The following is a 24,701-nucleotide window of genomic DNA, read 5'->3' on the forward strand; positions in this document are numbered from 1 at the left end:
CATCCACGGATGTTAACTGAAGTCCTACATGTTCTCAGTAGAGTGTGTCAGATTCTGTTGGTATTTGCTCCACTAAACATAGGGTTGGGGTTTTTTGATAATAAAGTTTGGGGTGAAAGTCTTGAGACAGCATAAGCTCATGAGGAAGCAAAAATGTAATCTGATTAGCAGGATTTGTATCTATGCATGGTAAATTATAGAAGATTGTGGTCTTTCCGTGACTAATGCCCTAGAAAAGCTTCACAGATGAAAACTTTGATCGTTAACACGGATACTCTTTCATCTCTAAAACAGCTTAGTATATTACCTACCACAACTTTTCAACTTTTTAATTTCTAGGCAAGTAAAACATTAAAATGCATATTAACTAAACTTCAAACAGGTTTTTTTTTTAGATGTCACCTGAAAATCTTTTTGGATTACTCATTTCCAGTTATCATATCCTAGTCTGCAGGGGCTTATTAAAGAAGGATTTAAATGTAATAGGCACCAATGAGTTGGCAGAAATAGAACACAGAAAACTAGTCACATGATCACAGGATCGTGAAGTCTCTTGATCCAGAAATTATGTAACTGTACTGAACACAAAATAGTTAGCAAACTATTGTGGCATTTTTATTAATTTGAATATGATTCAAAATTTTAAAAAAAATTTTTATATGTTCAACTAATATCTTAAATAACATGAAAATACATTGTGGTTTTTCTAATCTTAGGAATCCACTGAAATTTCCTCTTAAGAAAATTTAGATATTCAAAACAATACACTTGAAGATTTAGCATTGATTGTATCATATTCTGTTTTTAGAATACAATTAGCTTGAGGTTAAAGTTAAATATTATAACATTGCAATTTTCAAAAAGAAAATGGAGATGTTTAGATTTGCATTACTCACTCTTACTTCAGCACCTCTTCTACACTTAGTACATAAAACTCTCCAAATGTAATATAAATTAAAAGTTTTAATTTTTGTTAACATTTAAAAATCAAAGTAATTATTGTTATTGCAGAAAAGAATATGCATATTATGGTAGTAATTTTTAAGGTTTTCAACTCCTCAGGACTTTTCAGTGATTTTGCTGTCATAGTATCTGTATATGTGTTGGTCTTTTGTATATATTTTTAAATTGCGTTAATATAGACATTTGTAAGTTATGCTTTACAATAGCAAAAATGAACTAAATCACCTGTAAGTATGTCCCTTATCTAATTTCTGTGTTTTTGTATCTGAAAAGGAAATACCTAGACAGATGACTAATTTGTATATATTAAATAGGAAATACAGTGGCACTTAAATTCTGATTAGACAATGTGTATCTTTTTTATTTTAATATGTTTCCACAATATATACTAGAGAAAGCCTATTTTTAAGTATGTCCCAGAACTGCTAAGTTCAACCTTATAGGATTCTCGTGAGTATCACTGAAATAACTACATGTAAAGTGCTTCAATTCAGTGCCCAGCAACCAGAGCCCAGTAGGCATGGCCACTATTATTTGTATTAAATATTTTAATCAACATAGATGGAGTGGACATGAAAATTATGTGATTAATTTGTTCACTGTAGAACCCAAAATCAAATTTAGCAACTGAGAAAATACTTCAATTATTAAAGTCCAGATGAATCTGGTAAAAATCTCCCAATAAGATGACAACGTTTGTTTCAAACCAGCAAATAAGAACATGGACTCTGATTTTAGATCAAGAAAATGCAGCATGTATTCTCAAAATAATCACAGATAATCTTCTAAGCAGGTAACTCCAAAATCCCTGAGGAGGCATTGTGTTCCTTTCTTCACTTGGTCTCCTCTGCATGCAGTGACAGGGGCGAAATCAGATACTGGGCTCGAGGATCACACCAACTTCAAGCCACCAAGGTCAAGGAGGCAACATCAGGCACCTTGGAAGCAGATCAATCCTTGGCAAAACTGAATTTCGTTTTAGCTAGAGCACCTTTTTATCTTTTACCTCATACTACACCAGGGGGTTCATAGCCCACCCCCTCTTATTTGCTCAAGACCTCTCATCCCTGCTGTCCACCAAGGCCCCCAGCCAAGACAAGGAAAGAGGGCCTGTGTCCTACACTCAGCCCCCACTGCTGTTCATTTTAAACTGCTTTGCAAACCTATCAGTGCTCTATAGAAGTTACCTCTCAGAGTCTCCCTCGGCTTGCTTTTCAGCTACCGGTAAAATAATTTATGATAAGTTCTTCTTTGATGAGAACAGTCTGCTGTGCTTCCCAGCATAACTGGTATTCTGAAGACCTGTGTGGAATGGGGAAAAGAGCATTAGAACCTAGGGAGTACCACATGTTCCTGTCATTGTGAAACTGATAGACTCTTGGAAGCAAGGGTGTGCCTTTGTTTACCCAGCAAAACCCAGCGCAGGGTCTGGCAAAATGTAGACAGACTCTCAATTGGAGTGAGCCTCTTGGGTTCAAGAGTAAGTACTTCTGGTTGAAAGTCTGAAGTATGATATCCTCCATACTTGCCTTATTCCCCCTGGACTGGTCTCAGGATTACCATGGAAACACACACATCAATCAAAGATCCACAATGAGTAAAACAACCCCGCCCAGCCACAGAGACTGCCAGTTGACTTGTGGGAGAAGTGAAGGAATGTTAAAAGTTCTTTTTCTTTTTCTTCTTCTTCCAGAGTGGTGAGATTTTGAAACTGAATGGTGCTCATGTCTGGAGGTGTTTTATAGATTGTTTTTTTGTTTAGCTCATTCATGAAAAAAAAAAAAAAAAAGACAAGCATTGGATACAAAAAGTGCAATATTGAGTAAAGATAACATGCTTGGCTGGTGTACCGCTCTCTCCCCATTGTATCTCCTGGTGTAATGGCCCTGCCCAGATCCTACACAAAATAAGACCCTAACAGGTTCTTCAGCCACAGGCACAGGATTTGGCATAAAGTAGGCACTCAATACATTTCTATCAAATCAATGCACCTGTACTAAGATACAGACAGAATGCAGATTTATTCTCAGCTCAATTAGAAATAAAATGAATATGTTTTTCATTACAAAGAAATTGATTCATGTCATATTGCCAAGCCAAATGTGTGAACTGAATGGACTTTATGATAGTCAAAATGTATATGGCTTCTATATACAGAGGCCACAGGCTATGAGAAATTTCCCCAACAGGAATATTTTGTACTCTAGGATATTTTTCTTATCTCATTCTTCAAGTAAGACAGTCAGAGACAATTGTCCCCAAAGATATTTGCTTGTACCTTTTCATAGCTATTAATAATTTTTTGTTCATGTGTCTTGCTGTCTCAACAAACGACAATCTCTTATGCCTCTTTCAACCCCTCATGGTGTCAAGCACAGAAATTTGCACATTCTAGGCCTTCAGTAGAAGTTGAATTAATATTCTTGTTAGAGATGTACAAATGAATTTCTCTTAATTGAAATATATGCAAACTAGAACTGCTTGCCAAGTTCTAATTGGTAAAAAATGCAAACGCTGCATGTATTTGGTTTGCTTTCTTTGAATACTGCCTGTATTTTTCAAACCCCTTGACACATTATAAAGCAAACCTTTAGCAAAAAGCAAATCAATTTATTTTAACAGAGACTCCTTAAGAATGCCTTTTGGGGGCATGAATGGATGATATAAAATGGGCATCTGCTCCCCATTATTTCCAGGTCATGAAAATATCATTCAATTCCAATTCTATGCTTCCTGCGTGACCACCCAAATCAAAGCAGCAGTCTGACTTTACATTCCCATTTCAAACAGAGAATCATCTGTGGGAGGTAGGGAGATATGGTTGAATTAGATTAGGTCAAACTTTTATTTCACTTAAGAAACGATGTACCAAATCTGCAAAGCAAAGGGCAGGGGTGAGGATAATCTGATTTGTTACTGTAACTTAATAAGTTTATTCAGACAAAAAGATAAAACAGCAGGTGGTCACTCAAATGGCAGGTGAAGGTAGATGACTCACCATTACTGCAGCCAATATGACCCCCTTCCAAACACCCAATTTAGATCTGATTGGCATTACTTTAGAAAGCTAAGTCTAGGGTCAGATATAGGGCAGGTTCTCACTGGAATTTTCTAGTGCTCTCTAATATTACTGGTGCATAGCTGGCCTAAGTAGCTTGTATTTATAAATCTGACAGCCTACTTATATGTTGCCTTCAAAGAGGTACAACTATTGCAAGATAGCGCCATTATAGGGAAAAAAAAAAAAAAAAGGAGAACAATAATTTATCAATCATGAGGCCCAGAAGGTAAACACAATGCCTAGAACCTCAATTCAATCAGCAAAGGCCCAAAGGATATCATCAGCAGACCTAAAAGAACTGAATGTTTATCTTTCTATTCCTTTGTTTGTGAGGGTGTTTAGTATTATATGATGCAGGGAGCAATGTGTGTAACGTGGTGATATAGGCAGGTGGTAATTCTGTATTTTATTTTCTTTTGTTTTCCTTTTCTGTTGTTGTTGTTTCTTTTTTTAGACAGGGTCTGGTTCTGTTGCCCAGGCTGGAGTGTAGTGGCATGGTCTAGGCTCACCGCAGCCTCTGCCTCCCAGGCTCAACATCCTCCCACCTCAGCCTCCCGAGTAGCTGGGACTATAGGAACATGCCACCAGGCCCAGCTAATTTTTGTATTTTTTTAATAGAAACAGAGTTTTGCCATGTTGCCCAGGCTGGTCTCAAACTGCTGAGCTCAAACAATTCACCCGCTTCAGTCTCCCAAAGTGCTGGGATTACAAGTGTGAACCACCGTGCCCGACCTAATTCTGTATTTCCTACTTAGGCATTGCTACTTTTGTTTTGATTTGTTAAAACCTACCTCCATCCTTCCTTCTGACTGCACTATAACTCTGCTTCTTTCTTATTGTATTTTATCACTATGCATTATATACACTTTAGATCAGTGTATAGAGCATCACGAGGTTTGTTGCTTGTCAGTACTCGTTAGCATAAAAATAATATTCATCCCGTATTTTCCAGTGGGTATCTCCATCACACAGTGGCAAGCAAATTCCTGCAGGTAAATGCCTAACAAAGTTGTGAGGTCAGATGAGAATATGTATTTATTGGAGTAGACTTATATTGTCACTTGAGAAAAGATGCTGTTCACCACATTGGTACATGCCCACAGCCTACCCTGGTGTCTATCAACCTTTCTTTCTTTTTTTTTTTTTTTTTTTTTTTTTTGAGACAGAGTCTTACTCTTGTCACCCAGGCTGGAGTGTAGTGGTGTGATCTCGGCTCACTGCAACCTCCACCTCCTGGGTTCAAGTGATTCTCCTGCCTCAGCCTCCCGAGTAGCTGGGGTTACTGGCACCCACCACCACATCCGGCTAATTTTTGTATTTGTGGTAGGGACGGGGTTGCGCCATGTTGGCCAGGCTGGTCTCGAACTCCTAGCCTCGTGATCCACCCGTCTCGGCCTCCCAAAGTGCTGGGATTACAGGCGTGAACCACCGCGCCTGGCTGTCTATTTACCTTTCCACCTGCATCCTCTATCACCCTCATCCAAACCACAATGTCCTGGGCACCTTGGCATTATCTTTCTTTCTAGGCACACCAAGATCATTTTTATCTTACAGATGTTTTGATGCCTTTTCCTGGAAAGTTCTTACCCCAAATCATCACATTATAGGTTCCCCTTAACACGTAAGTATGAGTTCAAATACCTTTTTCATAAAATTCACATCATCTGTATCCTCCAACTCCATCCTCACTCACAAGCATCAGTTTTTATTTGTCATATCCCCTTGTTTGAAAGTCTTCATATCACTTATCACTATCTGAATTTACCACATTTACTTTCTTATTTGTTCTCAGTGTATTTGTGTCTCCCCATTGTGAAAGATACAGGGGATGAAGGCTGTTGTCTATATTATTCACTGGTGTAGTTCCAGCACCTTCAGGTATATCTGGCACACAATATTTATACAACAAATATTTGTTGAATAAATAAATATGCCCTTCAAAGTGTATAGTAGGCCAGATTAATGGAGGCAACTGGTGTTGGCAATGGTGGCAGGGGATGGAACAGGACTGCCTATTGTCCACGATGACTAGATTTTCTGAGGCCCTGAAATGTCACAGAATTTAAAAGCTGCAAAAAGCTTGAGGCCCAAAGAAAACAAGATCTTCCATCTCTTTATTAATAATTGGCAGAACAGAGATAGCTCCAAAGTCTTTCTACTGTTTTTCTTCTCCCTACCAGCTCTCACCTTCAGAGCTTGGGACTCTAAACTGTTCCTAGCTTTATATCAAGTAGCAGTTAAAAAAATACAGTTACATGCCACATAATGACATTTTATCAACGCCAGAGCAACAGGACAAATCTTCTATATGAGGGTGGTCCCATAAGATTATAACACATTCTTTTTACTGTACCTTTTCTAGGTTTAGATACACAAATACTTACCATTGTGTTGCAGTTTCCTTCAGTATTCAGTACAATAACATGCTAGTGTGTCCGGAATTGGTGGGTTCTTGCTCTCACTGACTTCAAGAATGAAGCCGCGGACCCTCGCGGTGAGTGTTACAGCTCTTAAGGTGGCGCGTCTGGAGTCTGTCCCTTCTGATGTTCAGATGTGTTCGGAGTTTCTTCCTTCTGGTGGGTTCGTGGTCTCGCTCGCTCAGGAGTGAAGCTGCAGATCTTCGCAGTGAGTGTTACAGCTCATAAAAGCAGCGTGAACCCAAAGAGTGAGAAGTAGCAAGATTTACTGCAAAGAGCGAAAGAACAAAGCTTCCGCAGTGTGGAAGGGGACCCCAGCGGGTTGCCAATGCTGGCTCTGGCAGCCTGCTTTTATTCTCTTATCTGGCCCCACCCACATCCTGCTGATTGGTAGAGCCGAGTGGCCTGTTTTGTCAGGGTGCTGATTGGTGCGTTTACAATCCCTGAGCTAGGCGCAAAGGTTCTCCAGGTCCCCATCAGATTAGTTAGATACAGAGTTTCCACACACAGGTTCTTCAAGGCCCCACCAGAGCAGCTAGATACAGAGTGTCGGTTGTTGCATTCACAAACCTTGAGCTAAACACAGGGTGCTGATTGGTGTGTTTACAAACCTTGAGCTAGATACAGAGTGCCGATTGGTGTATTTACAATCCCTGAGCTAGACATAAAGGTTCTCCACGTCCCCACCAGAGCAGCTAGATACAGAGTGTCGATTGGTGCACTCACAAACCTTGAGCTAAACACAGGGTGCTGATTGGTGTATTTACAAACCTTGAGCTAGATATAAAGGTTCTCCACATCCCCATCAGATTAGTTAGATACAGAGTTTCGACACACAGGTTTTCCAAGGCCCCACCAGAGCAGCTAGATACAGAGTGTCGATTAGTGCACTCACAAACCTTGAGCTAAACACAGGGTGCTGATTGGTGTGTTTACAATCCCTGAGCTAGATATAAAGACTCTCCACATCCCCACCAGACTCAGGAGCCCAGCTGGCTTCACCCAGTAGATCCCGCACTGGGGCTGCAGGTGGAGCTGCCTGCCAGTCCCGCGCCATGCGCTCGTACTCCTCAGCCCTTGGGTGGTCGATGGGACTGGGTGCCATGGAGCAGGGGGTGGTGTTCGCCCGGGAGGCTCGGGCTGCACAGGAACCCACGGAGGCGGGGGAAGGCTCAGGCATGGCGGGCTGCAGGTCCCTAGCCCTGCCCCGCGGGAGGGCAGCTAAGGCCCGGTGAGAAATGGAGCACAGCGCCGGTGGGCCGGCACTGCTGGGGGACCCAGTACACCCTCCGCAGCTGCTGGCCCGGGTGCTAAGCCCCTCACTGTCCGGGGCCAGCAGGGCTGGCCGGCTGCTCTGAGTGCGGGGCCCTCCAAGCCCACGCCTACCCGGAACTCCAGCTGGCCCGCAAGCGCCGTGCGCAGCCCGGGTTCCCGCCCGCGCCTCTCCCTCCACACCTCCCCGCAAGCTGAGGGAGTGGGCTCCAGCCTTGGCCAGCCCAGAAAGGGGCTCCCACAGTGCAGTGGTGGGCTGAAGGGCTCCTCAAATGCTGCCAAAGTGGGAGCCCAGGCAGAGGAGATGCCAAGAGCAAGCGAGGGCTCTGAGGACTGCCAGCATGCTGTCACCTCTCACTAGGCTGTATCATTTAGGTTTGTGTAAGTGTATCCCATGATGTTTGCACAATGATGAAATCACCTAAGGATGCATCTCTCAGAATGTATCCCTGTCATTATCAACATACAGAGATGTTTATTAGTTTTCTATAGCTGCTACAGTAAGTTACCACAAATATAATGGATTAAAACAACACAAAGTTATTTTATTACAATTGCACATGTCAGAATTCTGACACTGGTTCCATTAGATTAAAATGAGGCATCAACAGAGATGTGTTCCTTCCTGAAGGGGAATCCATTTCTTTGCCTCCTGCATCTTCTAGGAGCTACCTACAATCCTTGGCTTATGACCTCTTCTTCCATCTTCAAATGCTGCAAGGCTGGTCAGGTCCTTTTCATATCATACCGCTCTGACCTTCTCTTCTGCCTTTCTCTTTGACACTTAAAGGCCCCTGTGATTACATTAGACCCACCTGGATAATCCAGGATACTATCCTTATTTAAAAGTCAGTTAATTAACCATCTTAATTCTATAAGCAACTTTAACTCTCCTTTGCCACATATGGTAGCATATTCACAAACTCTGAGGATTAGGATGTGGACATCATCAGAGGCCTTTTTTCTGCCTATCACAAGAAGCATTATGAAAATAATTGCTATGTTTCCCTCTTTCAAAATAACTATGGTTTAAATTTTGGAGCATACGGTACCATTTGAGTTGTGGGCAATTTTGGGTGCTAATAAATTCTGCTATAATAGTTGTCCATAGCCATAGTCAAATGTTTTGTTAGAGTATAATTTTCTGAAAATTAAAAATAGGACTTTCCTTGAAATTTAAGATAAACACATGTCAAATATTTCATTCAACTTATTAATTATTAAAGAAACCATGATTCTAAGACTGGTTCAAAGGAATATATGAGGAACAGAGATGTATAATCAATCAAACAATGTTGAAATAATAATAGTAAGCAATAAGTAATAACAATAAGAAGCAAAACTGTTTAATGTCCCATGTGATAATAAAACAATAACCTTTGTGGTTATTCTTTTCTACCAGGCAGAAATCTACTAGTTAAAATGTAGCATTCCAGTGTCTGCACTTTGCATTCTTTTAGACAATTTTTTAATCCATGGAAGAACCTGTACAAACAATTACATTGAAAAGAACTGCATTCATTCCCTTGCTTTCCAAGTTTTGAATAATTTTTCTTAATATTTTAGAATAAATTCTGAAAGGAGAATCATGGGATTAAAAGTAAAATTTAAATTACTGAATTATTTTAACGTTATAATTTACTTTTGAAAACTATTACATTTTTAGGTGATGATTTATAGCATTTGTCTTCCTTGGATTTAAGATTAGGGATAAAACACTGGTTTCATGATGCTATTTTACCATATTTAATTTATAATTATTTGCCTTAAAGGGCTTTTATCTCCCAAATATTAACATAACAATATATGTGACATGCTTTTTTAGCACTTTAAAAATAAATCACTTAGGACAATGTTACTCAAAGAATTTTGACTTACCGTAAGGGGTTTTTTTGATGTTACTCTGAGGGTATTAGCTGTAGTTTTGTATATTTTTAATGTCTGGAATTTTAAAGGATACAAAACTACAGCCAATACTATAAATTGTGTTGCAATTTTGCAACACAAATCAGAGAGTATCAGAAATGAAATTAAGCAATGCCCATTATGTTCTCAGAATTTAAATTTTTCCATTATTTTTATTGTTTCTTCAGAATTATATTTGCCATGTATTGAGTTTCTGAATTATGCAGTCATTTTCCTGGATTTCATTAGCTTTTCTGAAATGCTTAGTAAATTACAGTGAAACTAGCTTTTAGAAGCAATTACTAGTGAATTCTTAGCCTTCTTTGCTCATGCAACAACAGTGTTCCCTATTAAATATGTTAATAACTACTTTACCTATTTATAGGCACATATTTTAGTGTTATCTTCTGAAATAATACTTATACCTTTAAGAATGGACCCATATTCACAAGTCCTTTTGGTGCCTTTTTTTGGTTATCCATGATGGTAGGTACCAAAACATTCAGTTACTTAGTTTTTAGAAAGACTTCTGGGCTTTGTTTGTTTGTTTTTAACTATGGCAATAATCTGTGTGCAGTTAAAATTCTCCATATTATAGTATAGAAAGCTGAAAATAAAAGTGGCTTTTAAAATAGCTAATCATAGTCTCTAAAGTAAAAAGAGTTCACAGATGGTCAGTAGGGTGATTGGTGGTCATCAGGGACCCAGCATTCCATAATCCTACCCTGAGTTCCTTCTTCAAGGCCATCTTATTGTCCAAGATGCTGGTTCTTAGGACAGTCCACCAAAAACTTAAACTTATATGTTATTGTCTAAAATTTACCTGAAGCAATGTAATTTTTTTTGGTTAGTTACATTATTGCTACCCAGAATAAAATCTGTAAAAGAAGGGGAAAATGGGTATTCAGTGGCAATGAACAGTTTCTGCCACACTTATTTAATTATTTAAATAATTAGAAACTGTCAGGGAACTGACAGGGAACTCAAATGAAAGTCAAAATTTCTGAATATCAAGTCCACCTACTATTAACCAGGAGTTTTTCTCGGTTGGGTTACCTAAACTTTGAGTTTCAGATCATCACCTCTGACTTAATTATTTCTTTGGTTTCATTCAGTTCAGAAATTCAATAATCTTATACTGCAATTTATATTTAGTCTAAGACACAAATGGTGTTTAGATTTAACTGCTATCATATAGGCCTCTGGTATGCTCAAGACATAAATTGAGAACTTCTTGGAGAAATATTTGAGCACACAGAGTGCCACTTGCTGTCTCACTGACAAAAATGTGACACTTTCAAAAGCCTGTGGGTAAGCCTCAAAGCAGAAATATCTATTTAAAATTATACCTCCTGCCTATTATTGAGCTGAGACACTGAATGCTTCCCTTCATCTGAAACTTTAGGGACTATTTGCATATTAGTAGCATAAATCTTAACTAATCCAGCAGGAGGGAAAGTATTTATTTTGTACTGAGAAAACTTTGTTTCAGGCGGAGAGAAGATATTCGAGTGATGATTGTCATCTTTTATATGCCTTGTAACTGTGATAGATGGTCTTGAGCTTCAGTGATTCATAATGGCATTTGGAGGCATGCAAAAAAAGCAGCTAATTCAAATGAACGAGTCAGTAAAACATCACAGCAAATGTAGGTCGCAGAAAACTGTGGAAATCTAACAGAAGGGCAGTGTGTTGCCAATGAATATATTTGAGGACAGTAAGAGAAAACTATTTCTACACTCGTCACTGGCTCCAAATAAAATGGTGATTTTATCTTTTCTACTGCAGCCTCCCAGTGGGACAACCTTCCTCTCTCCATTCCTTTTACCTCCTAAACCTCCTCTCCCCACAGAGCCAAACGGCTTTATACTTGCTCCCTCTTCAACAGTCAAATCTTCTTAACATTCAGAGGAGGAAAATGTGACCCAAAGGAGATTCATGACAACCCAAGGGGTAGGTTATTGGCAGTACAGAGATTAGAAATCCAATTTTACTGGATTTCCAATCCACTTTCAATTGCATTACTGTGTTCTTTAATAATTCCTATTAAATTGTGCGCTTTACAAATTTAGGTGTTGCATTAGTAGCTAACCTGAGGCCAGGATCTGGACTCCTCCCACTGACTCTTTAGCACCACCCTCTGTACATCTTGTCCTCACAAATGGGTTTTCATTGTAAGGACAAAGAAGGCTTCACAGAATGTGTGAGAGAGACAAATAGAGGGACATAGGACTCCCCAGAAAAGAACCCACGAAATTACAACATATGGTGACTTCTTGTCATGAGGATAAGCCAGTTCAGGCTTTATGGATCAATTATTATTTCATTCTTTCTTTCAAATAGCTTTTGAACACATACTATGTACCATCAACTATGCAAGGTGCTGAAGATTCAAGGGAAAGAAAATCAGTTCTTCCCATCTTTCAGTCGTGTTAGTCTTGGGAAACTGAGTAGATAGATGTGCCCCTTTCTGAAATAGAAAAGACTGTATGAGGAGCAAAAATGCAGGACAAGAGCAAGTATCTACCAGAGTGAGAGATACCCTAGACTCTCAACCAATAACTACCTCCTTTGCCATGTTCCTTCCTGTCTTTGCATTACTTAGGAAGTGAAGTTCCAAACAGGATAGTTTAGATGTCAGGTTGTAATGCTAGGTCAGCTCAGAAAACCCTGGAATCAGGACCTGTCATGTGAAATTGATGACTGCCCCAGATCCCTTTCCATCTCAAAACACCTTTCCCATTGACCTGTCAGTTACCTGAGTCACATCATTAGTGGTATTGCTTCTGCAATGTCATTGTCTACTGAAGGCCTTATTATAATAAACATATGTAAGTTATTCAGAAAAAAACATTTGAACAAGTTAGTCTCTGTTCTAGTTTCCTAGGGCTGCTGCAACAAAGTACCACAAACTTTGCTGCTTAAAACAATGCAATTTCATATATCATAGTTCTAGAAGTTAGAAATCTAAAAATAAGGTGTTGGCAGGTCATGTTTCTTCCAAAACCCCTAGATAAGGATCTTTCTTCCGTTTTCCGGTTCTGGTAGTTGCAAGTGGTTTTCAGCTTGTGACAGCATAACTCCAGTCTCTGCCTCTGATGTCACATGGGGTTCTTCCCTTATGTATCAGTAAATATTCTCTTTTTATAAGGACCACATGCTGCATTGTCATGCTACATTTATTGCCCATTCTAATCCAGTCTGATCTCATGTTAACTGATTGCATCTGCAAAGACCCTATTTCCAAATGAAAACATAATCTACAGTAATGGGCTGTCCTAGTCAGCCAGCCTGCCCTGACAAAATACCATAGACTGGGCAGCTCATAAACAGCAGAAATTTATTTCTCACAGTTCTAGAGACTGAAAGTCCAAGATAAGGGTACCAACATGATTGGGTTCTGGTGAGAGCCCTCTATCAGGTTGCAGACTACTGACTTATTGTATCCTCACATGGCACAAAAATCCCATGAGACCTCTCTGTGGGATCCCTTTTATAAGAGCTCTAATCCCCTTCACGAAGGCCCACTTTCATGACATAATTACCTCCCAAAAGCTCCACTTTGTGGGGAACATGAAATTCAGTCCATAACATGAGTGTTAGAGCTTCAACTTATCTTTTGGAGAGAAACAGTTTTTATGAAGTGTAGGGGCAGGATGAGAGAGAAAGAGTAGGGTGAAGGCACCTAGAATGAAGTCGATATAGCAGGCTCAAGTAAGGCGTAACGACAGACAATCCTTGTTCAAATAGGGGACTATATACATACATCAGGCATTGGAGGGAAGCACCAAAAGAATACCCCAGAAAAAGTACTGAGGGGGATAAAGAAGACAAACTTCACCTAACTCATAAGTTTGCCTGAGCCAGAAAATAAATGAACTTTAGAAGTAGAGTTTTGCAATTTAAAGTAAATTAAGTCAATGAATAATTTCCTTGGAAAATTGTCTTTGGCCCACTCACAGCTCTTTTATGGCTTATACCAGCTTTTTCATGGGAAAAATTAACGCTTTAGACAAGTTGAATCCATACCACTTAAGTTCCCTTTAAATAATCAAGCAAGGTTAAAATGAAAGTATTCATGGTAATAGAATCTGCCACCAGGGGATTATAGCTTACTAAGAAAACTATGACTAATACCATTCATTGATTACCCTTTACCTTCCCAAGAGTAATATGGTAAAATTGCAGTAGGGAGGATTTAAGGCAGACAATAAAAATGTTCCCAGTACAATTTTTTTTTTCCAGTATTGCTGCATCATCTTTTCTTCAGTGAGGTTAAGGAATTGGAAGGAGATTATCAGAAAGGGTTGAAGTAAAATGATACCTTACTTCATTCAGTCATAAATATTTCTTGATTCACCCAATATCTTTCCCACCATGAATATTCTTATTCTTTGCTTCTCAGCACAAACCGATAGTTGCTTTTTCAATAAATAGCTCTTACAGCCTTGAGAACCTCACCTCATAATGGTATTATAGTTAAGGTCCGTGCAGCAGATCCCCTTCAAGACAAGGAATCCTCTTCTTTGGGACTCTCTTAGATGAGGGCTAAAGTGACCCTTTAAAATGAGAACCCTCTCTGGAAAATTGCATCAGGACAGCATGATTGAGGCCTTGTTTGTTGAGCCGAATATCAGATAAGTAAGCTATATTTATCAAGTTATCTTTCCCCTCATGAGCTTCATTGTACTTTTGCTTTCTTGGCTCTTGACATTCTCCATGTTTCCCACTCTGTTCAGGGATCCAGCTGACAGTAGCCCATTTTCTATTGTTTGGGAGCATGTCTTGAGTTTCCCAAAGTGGGAGGATTGCCTCCGGGCTGTTATTGCCATTTATTGAGATTGGGATGATGCTCTAGTTCTGACAGAACAGTCCTGATTTATGTTCAGCTGGTGATTCATTATGACCTAGATCATTTTCTACCATATTTGTTCATATTCAATCTTCCCTCATTTTAAAATAAGGACAAAATACCCAAGTGTATTTCAGGCAACTTGTCAGGATATCAAAAAAATGGTTTCCTATTTTCTGAAATTCTGGCAAATGATGTCAATAGCACCAGCTAGTGCCATAAGTATGTACAGTTTATCTGGGAGACCACCCTGGAGTAGGAACCAGGAACCCATGGAAGATATTGCTAAAAGGTTCTCTGAAGCAGTAAAGTGGGGATGGCAAGGATTTTCAAGCCACATAAACTGGGTTTGGATCCTGCTTCTTCCACTCTTCACTTGGGAAAGTTACATAACTTTCCAGTCCTCAGTATCTTAATCTGGAAATTGTGGTTTATTAAATCTGCTGCATTGAGTTGTTGTTAGACAGTATTCCTCAAGACATGGTCCTCAGGCTGTCAATGGCATAATCACAGGGGTTGCTTGCTAAGGCAGATTACTAGACCCCAGAGCTAAAGATCTGATTGATAAATCTGGAATGAGGCCTAGAACTCTGAGATATTAGCATACATTTCAGATGATTACCTGCTAAGCTTAGAGAACTGCAGCAAGGAGACTTAAGTGTAAACTGCTTAGTACATCGTAGGAGTACAACAAAATAGATCTATCCCTGGACAGATAATCAGTTCCTTGAAAGCAGGTTGGTGTGTGTTCACCGTTGTATCCCCAATAGTCCAATGCCTTGGCACAAATCAGATGTTCCATAAACGTTCATTGATGTGAATGGTTAGAAATCACTAGTCAGAGCTGAAAGCAAAGACCAAAGACCAAAATGGTCAGGGAATGTTTGGTTCAAGTAAAATAGGAAACAGAAGCAAGATACACCATCAGAAAATAAGCAAGATTGCGGGCTGCAGTTCAGTTTTTCCAGATATCAGCATTAGTACAGAAGAGCAGCCAGCAGGTGTCAGACAGAGAGAAGCTGTTGGGAAGGCAGCAAAAAATAAGTTAGAGAATATAATGAAGACTGTAGTGGGAAGGGACCAGGCAGGGAGGCAATGTAAGGCTCTGGCAATCAGGACAAAAGTGTCCACAAAGTCTAAAGAGAGAGACAACACTAACGAAAACAGAGACCTTGCCCTGAGAGTCCAAAGCAGAAAGTTTGAGCACCTGGATGAGTTTGGGACTATGTGAGCAGATTCTGGTAGAAAAATCTAGGTGGTTTCAAGGATGGCACTAGACAAAGTCAAAACTAAAAACATAACAAAGGAAAGTGGCAGAATCACTGGTTCTGTGATGAAATCAGATAAACTGAGTGGACCAATAAAATCAAAATTTTGGTTCTAAATCAGTATGGAGATCTCCTACAGAAGTGAACCTATTAGGACTGTTTCATACACTCTGGTATAGGCCTAGAGATATATAATTAATATTTTATAACTAGAGCTAACGTGGTTGTTATTGGAATCATAAACAGCAATTACATCCTTATGTGCAACATTTCCTGACAAAGATATTCTTTGGCTACACACACATACTTGAAGACAAATTTAGACCAAGACGACATTATTTCAAAAATAATAATGAATTGGGCATGTGAAAATTACCTTACATATTTGAGAAATACACTTGATGTGTGCATATGTAAAACTTTATTCCTCTTTCATTTTTACATTGATTACCTCAGACATTATGCAGAACAGTGTGTAGATCCATTTTTTGAATCCTAACATAATATAGTTTTCTAGGGCATTATTTACACATGGTTGTGCTTTCCCTGTACCTGAATTATAGCCTTATATCTTATTATGCATGTGAAATATGTAGACAGCAATTAGCCCAGCAATTCTGTGTATTAATTACTTGCCTTTTAGAAAGCAACACGTCTGCAATCTGCAAAGAGAGCCACAAAAGGAATTCTATGGCAGTACAAGCATTTGTGTGTTTTTACAGATAATTCCATTACATAGAGTCATTCATGAAGAATAAATGGCAAGAAAAAATAGGATTTATCAGGGTAAAGCCCTAAGGGTTGAAGAAAACACAGGAAAATCCAATTAGAACTGCAGGGAGTTGGTTCAATCTCTTAATCGGCACTGCAGCACAGCAGATTAATATTATTGCCTACTATTTAAACTTTATTACTCCATTTTTCTGTCTGTGGTCCTCTGTTTTGCCAGCCCACCTTGAAAAGATGGCAGGCAGAACCATATAATACTTTTTATGGCCTTGGCAACAGCACTGTTTTGTGGTTTGAAAGGTAAGTACCATTCTAGAAATGATGAGGTGAGGAAGCAGGCGACACTTTAGCTTGTTTTATAAGCCAGAGGGTAAGGCTGTTTGCCCTGCATACTAATCACAAAAACCATCAGCACCAGCACTTTGCCAGCTTCTACTGACTGACAGCAAAATTTACAGCAGTCATTTTTCTATAGAATTATCCTCATAAAGTTAGAGGCATCTGGAGACAACGACTACAGCAAAGACTCCAAATAGGTCTTGGTCTTGGGTTCCAGTTATGACACAGACTTACCAGATGATCTTGAGCACTCAATTTTTGGTGTCATGAACAATAAGTTTATTAAAAGCCAGATTCTTAGATAAGTTATACTTAAATAAACATACATTAATTTTTTTTTTTTCTAAAAACTGGGGCATATGAGTTTCCTAGGGCTGCTGTAACAAATTGGGTTGCTTAAACAAGAGAAATTTATTCTCTCAAAGTTCTGAGGCTAAAGTCCAATGTAAAGTTGCTTGCAGGGCCATGCACCCTTTTAAGCTTCTAGGAAAGAATCCTTTCTTGCTTCTTCATAGCTTTGGGTGGCTTCCAGTAATCTCTGCTGTTCCTTGATATGTAGCTGCGTCATTCCAATCTCTTCCTCCATTATCACATGGACTTCTCTGTGTCTCTGTGTCGGATCTGAATGTTGCTCATGTTTTTTGTTTTGTTTTTCATTTTATAAAGACATCTGTCATTAGATTTTGGCCCTCTTCTAATCCAGTATAATCCCATCTTAATTTCACTAATATCTGAGAAGATCCTATTTACAAATAAGTTTCTGAGTTTCCTTGCAGATATAAATTTTGGGGGGAATCTATTCAACCAGCTTCAGTGGGAAATCACATAGCCCTGTATCTTTGAGTATTTTGAGATAAGTAGCTGTGAGCATTCAAATAACTTAAATCATGAGTGTTTCTATTAATGAGTTATTGCGTGTATATACTATACACAATCATGCGGTCTGTGATTTTATGGTATGTTAATTTATTCCACAAACATTTATTTTACCTGAAACCTCTTAGATAGTTATAGTAAAAGCATGTTGTATATTATTTTCCTGTTTATTTTGCAAATACTTCAACTAACAAAATAATTCTAGAATTAAGAGTTTATTTTTTACTTTATATAGATATTTGGTAGGCAAATGTTAATCTTGGTTAGAAAAGTTAGAAACTAAACGTAAGTTTTCCAAACTTTTATCCCCACCACAAATCAATGCACACTTTATTTTATATAGTAAATGGGTGTTGTATATTTCTTACAAATCAAATCATCTCTTATTTCACAATCAACATGGTTCTCTGAGCTAATCATTTTTAGAATGAAAGATTCCTAGGTTAGGTTTGGGGTTTATTTTGCATTGACACAAAATCTCATTAGATTCAGCTCAGTCAATATATCTGGCAAAATAAGATTCCTGTTTGGGCAAGCAAAGTTTTCTTTTCTCTGAGTTTGCAGTTCTCTTCCAGTTTTCAGATTCATAAGACACATGTAAATGTAATCTCCCTTCTGCACACCACTGGCTCATTTATTTCATTTGTTTCTCCCCAGGTGTTGATTAGACCATTCCAGTTGCTATCTGTATCTATTTTACAGTATAGAGTTGTTCAATTGATATAAATGGAAGTGTTTGTTTGAAAATATAACTTTTTTCTTTCTACTTCTACTCTTCTGAGGTTGTACTTTACATTTTAAAGTGTGCTACTAATATTTTTTTCACATTTTCAAAATCAATCTCACTTTATCTAATTTATTTCCCTAGATGCTTATATGCTTTGTGCCACCAGAGAGGAGGTCAGACAATCTCAACTCCGTCAGGGATTTTATATATCTCTTCTGTAAATCACTGAAGATACTTCAACTCTCCTAACAGAGTTCTCACAATGATCAGAGGAGAGCTGACAACTTCATTTTGTTAGCCCTTGTAGCACCTCCCACTTCACCTCACGCCCCTAAATATGTGCTTTATCTAGCTCACTCTCCTTTTGTGCCAAATTACCGTGCCAATTCTGCTTTTTATGTTTATTCTTACTCTGATTAATGTCTTTTTGGTCCTTCATGAGAAGTCCCTACAGGGAAAGCTCAAATCTTTGTAATTTTCTTGGCATGAAAGCAAGCAAAGTATCAAACACGATTAAGTTTCTGACAAGCTTGGTCTTCTCCCTCGGATTTCAGTACGCCTTTTTCATTCATTTTTCTACCTCTTTTACTCTGTCTGTTGCTTAATATTGGTATTCTCTAGCATTTATTTCCTTCTCACTTTTCCTTTACCTAATCTCACCCACTCACCTGCCTTCAACTAACACCTGCCCCTGGCAACTCTCAAATCAGTGTGTGCAGCTGAATGTCTTTTCCTGACTTCTAAATGTGTATCCTAGATCCAGAATAACAACTTTGTTGACAACTGCACTTGAATATCTTATATGTACCTTTTTAATAAATGTTTTTCAAACTTTATCGCCTGCTGCTCACAGAAATAAATGCATATTTGCATCTCAAATCACCAAGTATGTCCAAAGGCCCCAAATCACCACATGACTTGGTGCCTACAGTAGCATGACCAAAATTTACCAAATCATTAACTTCCAAATTGCTCCTCCTTCTGCATTTTCTCCCTGAGTTAATGAGACTGTATTGTAGAAATCTGAAAGTTATTTTAGACTCCTCCCTCTTGTATTTCTCATCAAGAGCCACAAAGTCCTACACATTCTACTTCCTAAATGTCTCTCTAGTTTAACCCAAACTTTCCATCCTGCTTCATGAACTATTTTGTATGATAACCCTGAGAGTTCTGCTTATCTCTTTTCTATCTCATGAATATTTAGTCCATCTTCTATACTGGTATATAAATTATTTTTCATCACTTTCTGTTTGCTTATCTTTCTCGTTCCATAGAGCAACCACTTTCAGGGTTCTAGAAATGGCCAATAAAGAATGCTTCTTCTGAGTTACTTACAATCCAATAGAGGAAACATAATTATAAACTAATTACTATATCATACAGAAAATGTTCTTATTTTGTTGAGCATAAGATATTCAAGTGCAGTTGTCAAATGTTCTCAAATTGTTGAGCAATTTCAACATCTCAAAAAAGGAATGACATGGGAATCAAAAAGAACCACCTAACATGGCTTAAATTTTCTCACTTAAAAATGGAAATCTGGCCGGGCGTGATGGCTCACGCCTGCAATCCCAGAACTTTGGGAGGCCGAGGCGGGTAGATCACCTGAGGTGGGGAGTTTAAGACCAGCCTGACCAACACGGTGAACCCCCGTCTCTACCAAAAACACAAAAATTAGCTGGGCATAGTGTCAGGCACCTGTAATCCCAGCTACTCGGGAGGCTGAGGCAGGAGAATCGCTTGAACCCAGGAGGCAGAGGTTGCAGTGAGCCGAGATTGTGCCATTGCACGCCAGCCTGGGTGACAGAGTGAGACTCGGTCTCAAAAAAAAAGGAAATCTATGCACTCACCTGCCATCACCACATCCACCTTTCCTGCTAGGAGGTGCATCAAGCTAACCGAACTTTTTTTGCACTAGGCTTTCATCTTGAGATGGTCACTGAAATACTTTTCCAGAATCCCCAGGATTTCAATAAACAAGCTTTGCATAATGCTGATGTAGTCCAACACACTCAGTTTAGAGATAAGCCAAAGAGGTCAACTGATGGGTCTAAATTTAGAAGCTTGTTAGGAGTTTAGTCCAAAGGAAAACCAAAGTCTTCCAAAAGACAGTCCAAGTTTTTATCTTTATGTGGACTCTTTCCTTTCCCTCCTACTCTTCCCTCCCACCACTAGAATGGAAAAATACAAGTATCTTAAATATCTCAGTAATCCCTTACTTTGGTTGGGAAGGGCTACCTGTGAAGACTGAGATATTAGTCACAGCATAATATTCTCACGAAATCCCAATACCAAAGTTTTTAATCTTGTTTAAAATATCAATAAAACATATGGCCACTTTCTTCAGACAAAAATATGCCTGAAACCTTAAAGTTTCTCAGATCCCACTAAACGCTTCCAGGGATCTCATGTAAAGAATCTCTGCCCTAAGGGCTTAATGGGCATTTACTTTGTGTGGTAGAAAAAGAAAATTTAGCAACCGGTATCTGGTCCAGCCAGCCTGTAACATGAATATCCAAAGTGATATAACATGTCTTATACTATGGCTTTATTCCTGTAATATTAGATTATTCTGGCCGGGCGCGGTGGCTCACGCCTGTAATCCCAGCACTTTGGGAGGCCGAGGCAGGCGGATCATGAGGTCAGGAGATCAAGACCATCCTGGCTAACACAGTGAAACCCCATCTCTACTAAAAATACAAAAAATTCTCTGGGCGTGGTGGCGGGCGCCTGTAGTCCCAGCTACTCCGGAGCCTGAGGCAGGAGAATGGCGTGAGCCCGGGAGGCGGAGCTTGCAGTGAGCGGAGATTGCGCCACTGCACTCCAGCCTGGGGGACAGAGCGAGACTCCGTCTCAAAAAAAAAAAAAAATTAGATTATTCTTGCAAGTCAGAGAAATGCTAAGGGGGAGGAAAAATATTATTTATAATTAAGACCATGAAGCACCTTTACTATTTGGAGTATTTGGGGGGTTTTGTTTTGGTTTTGCATCATTACAATTAAACTCTAGAGTAGCAAGGTTTATTAAACAAGTCAAGGAAAAATTTCTAGAGCAGAAATACCCATATAACATCTAGTAAAATAGCAGAAAGATCTAATTTTATTAGGAGTTGTGTGGTCATGATCACAGATTTCCATAGTTTTCTCTTTTGTACTGAAGGTGATGTTCTCTTTATGAACCAACATTGAAGCTCACTAATGGCCACCAAGACCAGTTATGCCTCAGATCATCAAAATGTATTCAAAGAGATGATTAGGAAACATATGGCTGGAAGTGCCTCATCTATGAAGAAAGCATGGAAGTTCTTTATGAGCACAGCTATGAAATAATTATGAGTGCCAAAAAAGTACATGGTTTCTAATTGAAGGCATATGATAGTCCTAGGAGCAAGAGGTAGACCATTAGCTACTCCCCCTACCCCCTTACCCACCACCCCTGGTTATCTAGGTTTGCTTTTGACCATCCATTTCTTATACTGTGCCAAAGGCTGGACTAGCTTAGTATAAAGAGTGAGCCTAACAGGTCATAGGTTGAGAGGGATTTTTCCAGTTGTTTTGGGGGTTGTTTGCTTGGTGGCATTATTGCATTTTTCTTGTACAAGTAGCATAACACGGAAGTAATGATTTTAAGTTCTAGTCTGGATATGCCTTTCCATATTGCTGCAACGTTGGGGAACTATTGAAGACTATATATAAGATGCTTTTAGGCTAGTTTTTGTCAAGCTCAGCTTTTAAAAAGACTCATGATGCACTGAATTTTATTGTTACTTCCTCTACTTTTTAAGTATTTTACAACATAAGAACCAGGTGCTATATGTCTGTTAACTTAATTAAAAAGGGTTATATACCATCCACTAAAATTTAAAATAACACTAAATTTTTTTTAAAAATGACTTGCTGAGGTGTTCCTTTGTGAATACTCTCCCCATTCCTTGGGCTGCCTTATTATGGCCATTCTATCCAAATTGGCAGTTCAGGGAATTATTCATTTCTGGGGTTGATGACTTTTTCCATTTGCCCCAGCTACAAAGGAGTACATGTGTTTTAATGAAGTCATATTTAAAGACCTGGATATTTATTACTGGTATACAAAAAATGAAAGCAAGTAGGCATACGATTGTTGACTTTTAGTGATTCTAATATTAAACATAATTTTAGGCCTGGTCTAGTAAGGTTTATGTAATAGGTGAGTTTTTAAGAGCAATGAGGACCAATTGCATAAGCTTTGCATGAATTGATAAATGGAGAAGAGAAATCATTGTACTTAACCTGCCAGGTTCACATAGTCTTCAGGTATAAAACACAAAGCCATGTTTATTACCTGTACAGTTAGCTAATTAAACATCTACGGCAACTTTAAATATTATGAATTCATTACGTTAATCCAAATTCCTGTGAAATATAAGACTGAAAAACAAAAGCAATCCAAGGGAATATTCACCCTTGCCACATAGTGGGGAAAACATATTTAAAATTTTACTGCCTTTTCCATTTCACACATGAGGGATCTGAGACTCAGAAAGGTTAAAGAGAAGGCCACAGAGGTTGTAAAAAAGTTACAGCAGGATTCAAACACAATTCTCTTCAGTTTATTCATATCTTTTTTATTTTTCCTTAGTACCCAAATAGCCATGTCACTTAGTATAACTATTTTGTTTTTACTTCAAATTATTTCATAATTTACCAGGAAAGTTATATTTTTAGGTAGATGTAGTTTTCATAACACAAAAAGGCCCTCATAATTTATCTAATTTAGACCTTTTATTTTACAGATGAGAAAACTGTGATCAAAAGAGGCAAAGAAAATTTCCTAAAGATTCATAAATGTCTGGTGGCAAATGTGTCACCTAGATTTCCAAAAATCTTTCAAAAATGTTTGTGAAATAGCATTACTTAATTAATTCAAGTAGATGTATATTTCAAGTACAAATAATGAAGAAAGAAGTTAATGTTAGCATCATCTAATATTTATTTGACTTATGAAAATATGTGGTGTATTAAATAGATAATTTGACTAATTGCCTTTAAATTTGGCCACTGTATGAGCATAAATAATAGAATCAAATCTGATATTATTTGCATATTATATATGCTTAAGTGATTTTTAATATATAGTTGTACATATTCTTAGGAAAATTTGTGTATTTCATACTGAGACATATTGTTATTCGCTCAGGATTATTGTGTTTTTCTCTCTCCATTTTTTTTTTACATTGAAATTGTTTATCAATTGGTTCTTCCAAAGAGAATTCTTCAGTTAATTATGTAGGTATTTATTAAGATAATTGATTCATGAAATTAAGATTACCTTTTGTTCATTTGATTTTGGAGGAGCACTGCTGTTACAAATAAACAACCTTGTTATTTGCCACTTTTTTCCAGTGACTGCTCATGAAAGAAATTAAAATGATACATCATCAGTGGATCTTCCTGTAGAGTAAGATAGAACAACTTTTGCAAATCAAATGGCATGCAACTTCACATAAAAGAGATTTGGCTCAATTATGAGTTCAATCATAGTTCTGTTAACATAAATCATTTTTCTTCATCCCCAAAGGCACGTATTTGCAGAATACCTGCTAAGTGGTAGGGGCTACAGAAACAAAACTACAGACATCAGTGTATTTTCTGTACTGTGCATACAAGTGTAGAGGGTCATAAAATATCTTTTAGAAAATAGGTTAGATATAGACGCTATTCAGCACTAGGTAACTATATAGTTGTCATTTTAATTCTATGTTAATATGCCCCTGCAAATAAAATTCCATTTGCGCTTTATCTAAGTTGGGTGAAAAAAAGTTTTATTTCAAACTACAGCAATAAATGTGCCCTTCCTTTTCATAACTCTTCTTCAGAGTATTCCCTGCCCACAAACAAGCATTTTTATAGAAATCTAGTGACAGGACAAAAAAGTGGTGTTTCTATTCTATTAGGTTTCTGTGGGAACCAAGAAATAGTACAAATATTGATCATGTAAGTAGACTATTATATTTATTATAATATAGACATTGATTACTTCCTGGAGAGTTTTTACCTTGTAAAAACTAGGCTACAGTATCATATTCCCACTGAAGACAGTATGGATTCCATTTATTTCCAAAGCATGTCAAGAGATGCCACAGTGTTGTATTTCAAGGTACAGACTTAAGTCTCAAATTGCCTGGGTTTAATTTCCAGCTCTGCTACTTCCTGGCTGCGTAAACCTGGACAAATTCTTCACTTCTCAGTCTTTTAACTTCTTCACTGTAAAGCAGTGGTAATTACAGTTTTCATTATATAGAATTATTAAGAGA

General features: G+C 38.2%; 1 protein-coding gene across 36 annotated transcripts in view, besides 1 other annotated feature; it reads left to right on the forward strand.

Annotated features, from left to right (window-relative positions):
• NLGN1 (neuroligin 1) overlaps window positions 1–24,701 on the forward strand; it is an 898,421-nt gene that overhangs the window by 808,515 nt on the left and 65,205 nt on the right. The window lies entirely within an intron of this gene.
• Window positions 7,296–7,796: an enhancer, noted in NCBI's record as "H3K4me1 hESC enhancer chr3:173929552-173930052 (GRCh37/hg19 assembly coordinates)". NCBI's record gives its function as "activates a minimal SCP1, AML or CMV promoter by ChIP-STARR-seq in primed H9 embryonic stem cells {active_cell/tissue: H9 hESC(primed)}" and the evidence as "EXISTENCE:reporter gene assay evidence [ECO:0000049][PMID:30033119]".

This window comes from Homo sapiens, chromosome 3, assembly GCF_000001405.40.
Source record: "Homo sapiens chromosome 3, GRCh38.p14 Primary Assembly".
Classification (NCBI taxonomy): domain Eukaryota; kingdom Metazoa; phylum Chordata; class Mammalia; order Primates; family Hominidae; genus Homo; species Homo sapiens.